This window comes from Homo sapiens, chromosome 8, assembly GCF_000001405.40.
Source record: "Homo sapiens chromosome 8, GRCh38.p14 Primary Assembly".
Taxonomy (NCBI): Eukaryota; Metazoa; Chordata; class Mammalia; order Primates; family Hominidae; genus Homo; species Homo sapiens.
The window spans coordinates 43,236,653-43,251,412 of record NC_000008.11 but is presented as its reverse complement, the minus strand read 5'-3'; the positions used below and the strand labels follow the sequence as shown (position 1 = coordinate 43,251,412).

Genomic DNA, 14,760 nt, shown 5'->3' with positions numbered 1-14,760 from the left:
CTACTTCATAATAGTATCTTTTTAACAACATGCTATGCAAGTTGGTATTTACTAATAATTTGCAAAATTATTGTTACCATTTGTACCTTTATTAGTGTACACCCTATTTTTTACATCAGAAATGTTTTCCTCTACTATTCTGACAAATTTATTTTCATTTTTTAAGACTCTGAATGTAGGCTGGGCACAGTAGCTCACACCTGTAATCCCAGTACTTTGGAAGGCCCAGGAAGGAGAATTGCTTGAGGCCAAGAGTTTAAGACCAGCCTGGAGACCACAGAGAAACCCTGACTCTACAGAAAATTTGCCAGGCATGGTGGTGAGCACCTGTAGTCCCAGCTACTCAAGAGGTTGAGACGAGAGGCTCCCTTAAGCCCAGGAGTTTGAGTTTGCTATGAGTCTTAATCATGCCATTGCACTCCACCCTGGGTGACAGAGTAAGAATGTGTCTCCAAAAACAGAAAAAGAAAAAAAAAAAGGCTCAGAATGCTATGTGAAATCCTCCTTGAATCTGACTATCTTTCTCCACATACACAGGCATCTCCTTCCTTGGGGCTCCCTTAGTACTTTGTCAATTTTTCTAGTGTCACTTCACCACCTGAACTGTACATCATGTCTTTGCATGTCTATCCCCTTTGCAGCTAGACTGTAGCAATCATCTTTGTATAAACAGTCTTTATTTTACCAAATATTTATTATTGAGTTCCTACTAAGTGGTAGGCACCGGGGTGTAAAGAATAGGAATAAAACCTTCGGGGATGGCTTTTCTAGAGATCATGCCTGAGCTGAGACTTAAAGAATGAGGTCCACCAGATTAAAAGAGGCAGAGGGCAGGAAACCTGAAGATGATGAAGATGAAGACCTTTGGGAGGATTCATTTATGCTTTATGAATAGTAAGTATATTTTTTCTTTTCTATGATTTTCTTTATATCAGCTTCATTTATCTAGCTTACTTTATTTTAAGAACATAGTAAATAATGCAGCAGCACATACCAAATATATGTACCTCGACTGTTTATGTTATCAGTAAAGCTTCCAGTCAATGGTAGGCTAGTTTGGAAGAGGTCAAAAGTTATACTCGGATTTTCAATTCCACAGAAATAAGAGTCCCTAACCCCCACATTATTCAAGAATCAAGTGTAATTAATATTTATCTACTAAATACAAACCATTTATTATAAAAATTAAATAGAAGAACCATTTGCATAAGTCCAATTTGTTATAATATGACTATAGAGAAAAATACAACACACTAACTTAAAAATCTTAAAAGTCTAATTTCTTGTTTATATTAATACAAAAATATATAGAATTTCAGGGATCATAATTAGGTAAATGAATTTGTTTCAGACAGTACTGTTTGAGAAACCGCGGGCCAGTGGTGCGATGGATAACGTGTCTGACTATGGATCAGAAGATTCCAGACAATACTGTTTGAGATTATGAATTAGCTACAACTAACTTCTGAAATAACTCTGAATTCTAAGCTAAACTAATTAAATTAAAAGAATTAATTTATATATATATACATGTAATTTATATATACATTCTTTAAACTGCTCAGTCAGGGCAGGTAAACATGAACTTTTTAAGGATGGAAGGATCCTGAGAGATAGTAGAATATGTCTGTTACATAACAAGCATTCATGTTATGTTTGATGAATAAATGGATTGAAAGAATGGATAAATACAGTTGTGGAGTTCAATATTTTTAAATAAAACTTTTATAAAACAATATTTTTGTGATAGTAATTATATTTGCTATTTATTATTTTTGTAAGAATACAAAATGAAATGTTTAATCTGTCATTGTTTGCATATATTCAATGAATCTATACATAAGAAAAGCATATGTACCTAATAAAATATATACATAATAAAATCTGCAAGCATACATAAAAAGATTCCCTTTTTACTTCTGAAGAGGCTAAAAGTTCAAAGAAGATAACAACCCACGCAATAATAATGATAAAATAGACAGCGAGAAATTATTTTTACCTGTGCAAGATTCATATTCTCTCTTCCCAAGGATTATTCCATTAATAATAAACTTTTACTAGAAGTTTTATACATGATCATTGCGGAAATCACAGATAAGAAAAAGGAGCAAGAAACTTTACTTAAAATACCAATGCTCAGAAGTTACAATTTTTATCATATTTTGTACATAGTTTTGGCTAACACAAGACCATAGTATGTTTGTGTGTATATGCAAGCAAACTGACTTTTTTTTCTCACTGGCTATAACAAAATGGTCACATATTATTCCATCCTATGGATGCAACTGAAATTTATTTATAGGATCTATCCTATCATTTCTTGTTAAAATAAGTGCTGAGAAAAAACAAAGTGCATGTATCTCTATTTTCTAAAGGTATTTTAATATAATGGAATTGATAGGTAAAGGGCATATAGATTTTTTAAATGTGGTAATTACCACCAAATTATCTACTTGAAAAGTCATCAGCAACTTAAACTTTAAGCAGCAGTATAACTACCACTGCTCTTTATTCTCACAAACATTGTGGATAGAAAACAGTCTCATTTCTCTTTTAACTTAAATTCTCTTATGAGAAACACTAAGGATTTTTTCCTATGTACGTAAGTTAAGTTGTGGATCTGCAAAAAAGTACTTTGCTCACTTTTAGAGTTCTTTTCTTCTGGATTTTATTTGAAAGAATTCCCTGTAAAATAAAGATGTGCTTTTTATCTGTGTGTGTGTGTGTGTGTGTGTGTGTGTGTGTGTGTGTATAAAACTGATATATATAACATATTATATCAGTAATATATACAATTTGTTATAATCAGTAATATATATTATATATAATAAAAAATGTAATAAGTTCCCTGTAGAATAAAGACACACTTTTCATCTGAATATGTATTAATATATATTTATATATAGTAAAAAATTATAGCATTTTTCAAGTATGTCATCTTTTGTTAATTTTTTCTGATACACAAGGGGTTTTAATTTTTAGTTGCTAAATCAACCTTCAGAATGCCTACTTGTGAGGTCATTCTTAGGAAGGCCTTTGTCAATATAAAATGTACCTGTATAAATAAGCATTTCTGTTTTCTTCTGGTACTTTCTTCGTTTTGCATATGTAATAATTTCAATCTGTATTCTTTCAGGAACTCATTTTTGTCGCACAAAATTTTATTAGTTTTCTTCAAATAGGACACGTTATTAATAACTCATACCTTCCTACTCATCTGAAATGTTACCACAATCCCTACGTATATATCTTACATTTATCTCAGTGTTTTGGGATTTCCTATCCTGTTCCATGTATTTACGTCTTTTCAGCTGTTAGTCAACAGTTAATTGTGGGAATTAATAGCACATTTTGATATCTAGAGGAGCAAGACTTTTTTCACTCCATTATAAAAATGTTTAAATGTCATCGCAAGAGAAAAAGACAGACAGCAAGTGTCATGCAAAAATGTTAAAACGTTGATATTTTCACTTGGTTTACGTAAAACTGATAAATATAGAAAGAGCTCACATTTTGAGAAAACTGAGTCTTCCCATTCAAGAACACGGAACCCACCTCCCACTTCCAAGTTTCCCTCTAAGGAGCCCCAGTAAAGAATTTATCTACATAGGTGGATTCGGATGTAAAACAGACGCAGGGTTTTATCGGAGAACTTTTCGCCTACTGAAAATGACTCATGGCATTTTTGATATGGGAATGAGTTCTCATTAGGCACCTCCCTATCATGTATATGAGACTTATCTTTTAAACGTGTATATGCCTAACTTTGTGAGATAAATCAAATTCTCCACCAAGTGCTCCAGACGGGGAATTGCCAGCGATAGAAAGCAGCTGAGGCTCCGTTTGGCTTCGCTGTTCCGAGGGTGCCCGGCGCCCTCCAAGATCCCCGCCCCAGGTGCTGCGGGGCTTCGGGGCTACGGGGCTGCGGGGCTGCGGGGCTGCGGGGCTGCGGGAAGCCGGGCCTAGGGCCCCCTCCCACCTGGAGCTGAGGCCCCGCTGCCTGTCTTTCCTGTCGCGGGCGTACAAGTCCCGGCTTCTGCGCATCTGGCGGCGCTCGACCTCTGCGGCGGCGCTCCACCTCTGCGGCGTCGCCCCTCACTGCCGCCCTGTGGATCTTCCGCAGTTCCGCGTCCCAGGTGTGGTACCCGGGATCCGGGTACTCGTGGTCGATGGAGCAGGACCGCCTGGCCCAGGCGTCTCCAGAAGCTGAAGCGCTTCCTCGTGGTGGCGACTTCTCAGACGCTCAACAACCCGCTCCTGAGCCGCCGCGGCTCCAGGTAGCCTTTCCACCCCGCCTCCCAGCCCTAAATCTGCGATCCACCCCCAAATCCGCGATCCACCCAAAAACCGCAATCTACCCTCAAATCCCTGGTCGTGCCACCCGCCGTCCTCCTCTGACGGAGCTCGGGACCGCTGGCCAGAAGCAGTCCGCAGCCACCGGGGATGGGATTGAGCGGCAGGTTCTCGCCCCTGTGCAGCCGCCGTCGGGCGGACCGCCTGGCTCGGCAGCAGCCACAGGGACATCTGGTCCTGGTTCTTAGATGTTCGGAGAGCAGGCGGGCTTAGAGGTTTCCCGGAGGCTGCTGCCTGCACACAGAGGGCGACTGCAGCTTGGGTGCCCAGGCGGGCTGGAGGGGCATGGCCTGGGCGGCCTCGGGATCGCCAGCGCGACCAGCCTGAGGGCCCCTAGGCCGTGCCTCCCGCCCCGCTCCTCCGCCGCAGGGAGACAGAAGCCGCTGGCATGGGCACTCCGCAGTCACCCAGGATGGGGTTGAGCGGCAGGTTCTCAGTTCTCGCCCCTGTGCAGCCGCCGCCGGGCAGAACGCCTGGCTTGGCCGCAGCACCGGGACTTCTGGCCCCGGCTCTGCGATGCTGGCAGTGTGAGCGGGCTGGGGAGTTGCCGGGCAGCGCCCAAGTGCAGCCCCAAATCCGCGATCCACCCCAAAACCACAATCCACCCAAAAATTTGGGGCTGCAGCTTGGGCGCCCAGGCGACGGAGCATGGCCTGGCGACCTCCGGAATGCGTGCGCGCCAGGCCTGAGGGCTCCCCTGGCGGTGCCACCCGCTCTGCTCCTCCTCTGCCAGAGCCTGGAACAGCTGGAAGGGCCACTCTGCAGTCACTGGGGATGGGGTTAAGTATTCTTATCCCACGCATGCGCACAAAAAGCTATTATGTGAGGTAATTAATATGTTAATTGACTTCGTTTTGGTAATCATTTCAGAATGTGCATATAGATAGAAACACATCACATTGCAAACCTTGAATATGTTCACATTTATTTCTCAATTATACCTCAGTAAAGCTGAAAAAATTTAACAGGATTAAAAGGTTAAACCCACACAGTTCTATAATAACAGTTGGACACTTCAATACCTCATTTTAATTAATGGGTAGAAAAACCAGACAGAAGCTTCATGAGAAACAGAAGACTTGAACAATAGTATAAGCCGCTTAGATCTAATATACAGATACAGAACAGTCCACCCAACAACAGCAGAATACACATTATTTTCAAGTGGATATGGAACTTTCTCTAGGATAGGCCATATCTTCCTCTGCAAAAATATGTCCTAATCATTTTTAAAAGTTTGAAATCATACAAAATATAATTTACAACCACAATGGAAGAAACAACAGATAAATAAAAAATGAAAATGGGAAAATTCACAAATATGTGGAAATTAAACAATGTACTCTTAAACTACCAGTGAGTGAAAGGATAAATCACAAGTGAAATTATAAAGTATTTTGAGACAAATTAAAATAAAAATAAAGCATACCAAAACTTATTGAATGCAGTGAAAGTAGAGTTCAAAGGAAAATGTATGGATATAAACAATCACATTAAAAAAAAAATCTCAAATCAGTAACCTCACTGTGTACCTAAAAGCAGTAGAAAAACCAGAGAAAACTAAATCCAAAGCTAGCAGAAGGAAAGAAATAATAAAGATTAGAGTATAAATCAATAAAATAGAAGGTTGAAAAGCAGTAGAAGAAATAAACACAGCTAAAAGTTGATTCTTTGAAAAGATCAAACCTTTCACTGTATTGACTGAGCAAAAGATGGAAGACTTTCATCACTAAAATCATAAATGAAAGTAGAGCCATTACTACCAACTTTACAGAAATAAAAAAGGATTATAGGAGAATACTGTGAACAGCTGCATATTAACAAATTAGGTGCCCTGGATGAAATGGACGAATTGCTGGAAAGACACAAACTACCAAAATAGCTCAAGAAGAAAGAGAAAATCTGAATAGACCTGCATTCAGATAACAAGCAAGAAGATTGGACTAGTAATCAAAAACCATTTAACAAAAAAAGATTTATGACCAAATAGCCATATTTGGTCATAAATCTACCTAACATTTAAATGTGAGTCTATCTAACATTTAAAGAAAAATTAATACCATTTCTTCTCAAACTCTTCCAACAAAATGTATGAAGAAAGAATACTTGCCAATTCAGTTGTTTTGTGGGGTGGGGGCGGGGAGTTGTTTGTTTGTTTGTTTGTTTGGAGACAGAGTCTTATCCCCCAGGCTGGAGTGCAGTGGCACGACCTTGGCTAACTGCAACCTCTGCCTCCTGGGTTCAAGCGATTCTCATGTCTCAGCCTCCCGAGTAGCTGGGATTACAGGTCCCTGCCACTACACCCAGCTAATTTTCGTATTTTTAGTAGAGACGGGGGTTTCACCATGTTGGTCAGGCTGGTCTCAAACTGACCTCATGATCCAACTGCCTCAGCCTCCCAAAGTGCTGGGATTACAGGCATGAGCCACCGCGCCCAACCCTCACTTTTTGATAACAGCATTATCCTGATACCAAAGCCAGACAAAGCACAAAAAAAGAGAACTAAAGCACGATATCCCTTATGAAAATATAGGCAAAAATCTCAGCAAAATGCTAGCAATACTAACAAAATACTAGCAGCACTACTGTATAATCAAAGGATTGTAAACTATCACCAAGTGAGATTTATCCCAAAAATGCAAGTGTGGCTCAACATATTATAAACCGATCAGTGTAATATACTATAACAGTAAAATGAATAAGCACATGATTATTTCAATTGATGCAGAAAAAGCATTGATGATATACAACTCTCTTTTATGATAAAAATACCCAATAAACTAAGCACAGAAGGGAACTTCTGCAACATGACAATGGGATATAAAAAACTGACAGTTAATATCGTGCTCAATGGTGAAACACTGAAAGCTGTTTTCCTAACATCTAGAACAGGACAAGGATGGTGCATTTGCCAATTCTGTTCAGCATAGCACTGGAAATTCTAGCCAGAGCAATTAGGCAAGACAAAGAAATAAAAGGCATCTAAATTAGAAATGAAAAATAGAAGTAAAATTATATCTACACATGATCTTATGTGTATAAAGCTCTAAAGAATACCCAAAACCCATCAGAACTAATAAAAGAGGAAGGAAGCAAGACAAACACATGCTAATTAGTTGTATTTCTATATAGCTGTAATGAACTATGGAAACATTTTTAAAATTCCATTTATAATAGCATCAAAGAATAAGATATTCAGGCATAAATCTAAACATGGTGGTATGCACAAAACTTCGCTGAAAGAAACTGAAGAGTTTAAATAACTGGAAAGACATTCTGTGTTCATGGGTTGTAAGACAATATTTGATGACCATACCATCTAAAGTAATCTAGAGATTCAATACGATACCATCAAAATCTCAAAGACATTTTTTGCAGACACAGAGAAACCCATTATAAAATTCATACAAAAATTCAAAGAATCTGACATAGACAAAACAATCTTGAAAAAGAACATTGGAAAACTCACATTTTCCAGTTTCACAACCTACTACAAATCTACAGTAATCAAGAGGGTGTGGTACTGGCATAAAATCAATAGACATTTAAAATAACAGAATAGGATTGAGATCCTAGAAATTAGTCCTCATATATATGGTCAATGACTGTTCAGCAAGGAGGCCAAGACCAGTCAATGGAGGAAAGAACACTCTCTTCAACAGCTGGATATCCATGCACAGGAGTGAAGTTAGACCCCTACCTTGCACTATATACAAAAATTAACTCTAAATTAACAAAAGACTTAAATGTAAGGACTAAAAATATGTAACTCTTAGAAGAAAACACACACGTAAATCTTTATGACCTTTGAGTTTTAAATGCTTTTTGAAATATGACACAAAAGCACAGATAACAAAAGAAAAAACACGTTAGATTTAATCAAAATCGAAAAATTTTATGCATCAAAGGACACTATCAAGGGAGTGAAAAGACCACCCGTAGTATGTGAGAAAATATTTATCTGATAAAAGCAAAACATATATCCGATAAAAGCTTAATATCGCACAACTTAACAACAAAATTTCTAACATTCCAATTAAAAAATAGGCAAAGGACTTGAATAGACATTTCTCCAAAGAAAATATACAAATGTCTAATAAGGACAAAAAAAATGCTAAACACCATTATTCATTAATAAAGTGCAAATCAAAACCAAAATGAAATACCACTTTCCATCCTCCGATATGGCTTTCATAACAACAATGAAACAGAAAATAAATGTTGCTAAGGATGTGGAGAAAATGAAGCCCTCATGAATTGGCTGCTAAAAACAGAAAATGATGCAGTTGCTGTGGAGAGCAGTTCGGTGGTTCCTCACAGAATCACACATAGACCCAGAAATGCCACTCCTAGGTATTACACACAAAAAAGTTGACAGCAGGATCTGGAACAGACATTTTTACACCAAAGTTTATTGTAGCATTATTTGCCATAGCCAAAAGGCAGGGACAGCCCATGTCCATCAACAAATGAATGGATAAACAAAATATGATACATATATAATAGAGTATTATTCATCCATTAAAGGGAATGAAGTTCTCATGCATGCAACATGGGTGAAACTTGGAAACGTGATGCTAAGTGAGGTAAGCCAGACATAAAAAGACAAATGTTGTGTGATTCCATTGATATGAAATATCTACAATAGGCAAATTTGTGAAGACAGAACAAAGATAAGTGTTTATTTTGTGTACTTTGATATTTTATGTACAGTATATAATATGTATTTGGTATACTTTGATATTTTAGGTACAGTATGTAATATGTATTTGGTGTATTTGATATTTTAGGTACAGTATGTAATATGTATTTGTTGTACTTTGATATTTTAGGTACAGTATAAAATGTGTATTTGGTGAACTTTGATATTTTAGGTACAGTATGTAATATGTATTTGGTGTACTTTGATATTTTAGGTACAGTATGTAATATGTATTATGTGTACTTTGATATTTTAGGTACAGTATATAATATGTATTTCGTCTAGTTTGATATTTTGGGTACAGTATGTAATATGTATTTCGTGTACTTTGATATTTTAGGTACAGTATATAATATGTATTTCGTGTATTTTGATATTTTAGGTACAGTATTTAATGTGTATTTCGTGTACTTTGATATTTTAGGTACAGTATGTAATATATATTTCGTGTACTTTGATATTTTATGTACAGTATATAATATGTATTTTGTGTACTTTGATATTTTATGTACAGTTTATAATATGTATTTGGTGTAGTTTGATTTTTTATGTACAGTATATAATATGTATTTGGTGTAGTTTGATATTTTATGTACAGTATATAATGTGTATTTGGTGTACTTTGATATTTTATGTACAGTATATAATATGTATTTGGTGTAGTTTAATATTTAGCATACAGTATATAATATGTATTTTGTGTACTTTGATATTTTGAATACAGTATATAATATGTATTTAGAGTACTTTGATATTTTATGTACACTATATAATATGTACTTTGTGTACTTTGATATTTTATGCACAGTATATAATATGTATTTGGTGTACTTTGATATTTTATATAGAGTATATAATATGTATTTGGTGTACTTTGATATTTTATGTACAGTATATAATATGTATTTTGTGTACATTGATATTTTATGTACAGTATATAATATGTATCTGGTGTACTTTGATGATTAATGTACAGTATGTAATATGTATCTGGTGTACTTTCATGTTTTATGTATAGTATATTATATGTATTTGGTGTAATTTGATATTTTATGTACAGTATATAATATGTATTTGGTGTACTTTAATATTTTACATACAGTATATAATATGTATTTTCTGTACTTTGATGTTTTGTGTACAGTATATAATATGTATTTTGTGTATTTTGATATTTTATTTGCAGTACATAATATGTATTTAGTGTACTTTGATATTTTATGTATGGTATATAATATGTACTTTGTGTACTTTGATATTTTATGCACAGCATATAATATGTATATGGTGTACTTTGAAATTTTATGTACAGTATGTAATATGAATTTGGTGTACTTTGATATTTTATGTACAGTATATAATATGTATTTTGTGTACTTTGATATTTTATGTAGAGTATATAATATGTATTTGGTGTACTTAGGTATTTTATGTACAGTATATATTATGTATTTGGTGTACTTTGATATTTTAGTTATAGTATATAGTATGTATTTGGTATGTTTGATATTTTATGTACAGTAAATAATATATATTTGGTGTACTTTGATATTTTATGTACAGTATACAATACATATTTTGTGTACTTTGATATTTTATATACAGTATATAATATGTATTTTCTGTAATTTTATATTTTGTGTACAGTATATAATATGTATTTGGGGTACTTTTCTATTTTATATACAGTATATAATATGTATCTGGTGTACTTTCATATTTTGTGTACAGTATATAATAAGTATTTTGTGTACTTTGATATTTGATGTACAGTATATAATAAGTACTTGGTGTACTATTTCATGTTTGATATACAGTATATAATATGTATTTGGTTAATTTTTAATATTTGATGTACATTATATAATATATATTTGTTGTACATTTTGATATTTGATGTACAGTATATAATATATAATGTACTTTTTGATATTTGATGTACAGTATATAATATATATGATGTACTTTTTGATACTTGATGTACAGGATATAATATATATTAGGTGTACTTTTTCATATTTTATGTACAATATATAATATATCTTTGGTGTACCTTTTGATATTTTATGTACAATATATAATATGTATTTGGGGTACGTTTTGATATTTTATGTACAGTATAAAATATGTATTTGGTGTACCTTTTTACATTTTATGTACAGTATAAAATATGTATTTGGTGGACTTTGATATTTTATGTACAGTATATAATATATATTTTGTGTACGTTGCTTTTTATGTACAGTATATAATATGTATTTGGTGTACTTTGATATTTCATGTACAGTATATAATATGTATTTGGTGTACTTTGATATTTTATGTACAGTATATAATATATAATATGTGTGATTTGATATTTTATGTTCAGTATATAATATATATTCGGTGTACTTTGATATTTTATGTACAGTATATAATATATACTTCGTGTAAGTTGATATTTTATGTGCAGTATATATGTTTTGCATACTTTGATATTTTATGTACAGTGTATAATATGTATTTTGTGTACTTTGATATTTTATGTACAGTATATAATATGTATTTGGTGCACATTGATATTTTATGTACAGTATATAACATGTAATTTGTGTACTTTGATATTTTATGAACAGTATATAATATGTATTTGGTGTACTTTGATATTTTATGTACAGTATATAATATGTATTTGGTGTACTTTGATATTTTATGTACAGTATATAATATATATTTTGTGTACTTTGGTATTTTAAGTACAGTGTATAATATATATTATGTATACTTTGATATTATATGTACAGCATATAATATATATTTTGTGTACTTTGATATATTATGTATAGTATATAATATGTATTAAGTGTACTTTGATATCTTATGTACAGTATATAATACGTATTTGGTGTACTTTGATAATTGATGTACAGTATATAGTATGTATTTGGTGTACTATTTGATATTTTATGTACAGTATATAATATGTATTTGCTGTAGTTTGATGTTTTATGTACATTATATAATATGTATTTGGTGAACTTTGATATTTTATGTACTGTATATCATATGTATTTTTTGTACTTTGATTTTTTATGTACAGTATATCATATGTATTTTGGGTACTTTGATATTTTGTGTACAGCATATAATATGTATTTGGTGTAATTTTTGATATTTTATTTACAGTATATAATATGTATTTGCTGTAGTTTTTGATATTTTATGTACAGTATATAATATGTATTTGGTGTACTTTCGTATATTTTATCTACAGTATATAATATGTATTTGGTGTACTTTTTGATAATATATGTACAGAATATAATATGTATTTCGTGTACTTTTTGACATTTTAGGTACAGTATATAATATGTATTTGGTGTACTTTTTGACATTTTATGTACAGTATATAATATGTATTTGGTGTACTTTCAAACTATGTACAGTATATAGTATGTATTTGGTGTACGTTGGTGTTTTATATACAGTATATAAAATGCATTTGGTGTACTTTGATATTTTATGTACAGTATATAAATTGTATTTGGTGTATTATACACTGTGCATAAAATATCAAAATACACCAAATACATATTATATAGAGTACATAAAATATCAAACTACATCAAATGCATATTATATACTGTACATAAAATATCAAAGTACACCAAATACATATTTTATACTGTACATAAAATATCAAACTACACAAAATACCTATTATATACTGTCCATAAAATATCAAAGTACGCCAAATTCATATTATATACTGTACATAAAATTTCATAGTGCACCAAATACATATTATATACTCTACATAAAATATCAAAGTACAGCAAACACATGTTATATACTGTACATAAAATATCAAAAAGTACACCACATGCATGTCATATACTGTAAATAAAATATCAAAAAGTACACCAAATGTATCTTATATACTGTACATATAATATCAAATAGTACACTAAATACGTATTATATACTGTACATAAAATATCAAAAAGTACACCAAATATATACTATATACTGTACATAAAATATCAAAGTACACCAAATACATATTATGTACTGTACATAAAATATCAAAAAGTACACCAAATACATATTACATACTGTACATAAAATATCAAAAAGTACACCAAATACTTATTATTTACTGTACTTAAATTATCAAAAATTACACCAACTACTTATTATATACTGTACATAAAATATCAAAAAGTACACCAAATATATATTATATACTGTACATATAATATCAAAGTACACCAAATACATATTATATACTGTGCATAAAATATCAAAGTACACCAAATACATTTTATATACTGTACATAAAATATCAAAGTACAGAAAACACATATAATATACTGTACATAAAATATCAAAGTACACAAAATATATATTATATACTGTACACAAAATATCAAAATACACAAAATACATATTATATACTGTATGTAAAATATTAAAGTACACCAAATACATATTATATACTGTACATAAAATATCAAAGTACACCAAATACATGTTATATACTGTACATAAAATATCAAAGTACACCAAATACTTATTATATACTGTACATAAAATATCAAAGTACCCAAAATACATATTATATACTGTACATAAAATATCAAAAAGTACACCAAATACATATTATATACTGAACATAAAATATCAAATTACACCAATTACATATTATATACTGTACATAAAATATCAAAGTACACGAAATATATATTATATACTCTACCTAAAATACCAAAGGAAGTAATGGTGAGTCACTGTTTAATGGGTACTTTATTTTGGCTTGTGATTAATAGGATGGTTGTACAACACTGTGAATGTACTTAATGCTACTGAATTATATACTTAAAATTGTTAAAATTTTAACACAATAAAAAAATTAACATATATATCTGAGAATTATTCATTGTTATTTAGAAGTTCTTTGCTCAATTGCCAAATATTAAGGTTTTCTGAGTATATTTTTGTTGTTGATGTTTAATTTAGTCCTATTTTGCTCAGTATACAAACCCTCTATGATTTAAATCATTTTATATTTATTGAGAATTGTTTTATGGTCCAGTATTTGATCTGTCTTGATTAATGTTCCACAGACACTTAAAAAAGTAGATCTGATTATCGTCACCTTTACTGTTGATGTCTGTTTCACACATTTTGAAGTTTCATTAGGCTCACCCATTTAAGATTGTTAATCTTATGAACTGGCCTATTTTGATTGTGACTTGACCCCTTTATCTTTGGCAGTACTCCTGTTTGGAAGACCACTTTATCTAATATTAATATGGGCACACCAATTCTTTTAGGATGAGCATTTGTATGACACATTTATACCCATACTTTTGCCTACGTGTTGTTTCTATATCTAAAATATGCTTCTTGTGAACAGCATAGGGTTGGGTCTTATTTATTTTTTTTAATCTCATAAGTAATCCGAACTTTGAAATTGAGATATCCAGCCCTTCTATATTTATTTATGTATTAGAAACAGGGTCTGGCTCTGTCACACAGGCTGGGCTGCAGTAGCATGATCATAGCTCGTTGTAACCTCAAACTCCTGGGCTCAAAGGATCCTCTTGCCTCAGCCTTCTGAGTAGCTAGGACTGCAGGGACATGGCACCATGCCCAGCTAATCTTTTATTTTTTAAAAAAAATTTTCTTTGGGAGGCCGAGGTGGGCAGATCACAAGGTCG

General features: G+C 32.7%; 1 pseudogene; it reads right to left on the bottom strand.

The window, feature by feature from the left end:
* On the bottom strand, window positions 4,305–5,156 carry LOC101059977 (protein enabled homolog; annotated as a pseudogene).
* Between the last annotated feature and the right edge of the window lie 9,604 nt (window positions 5,157–14,760).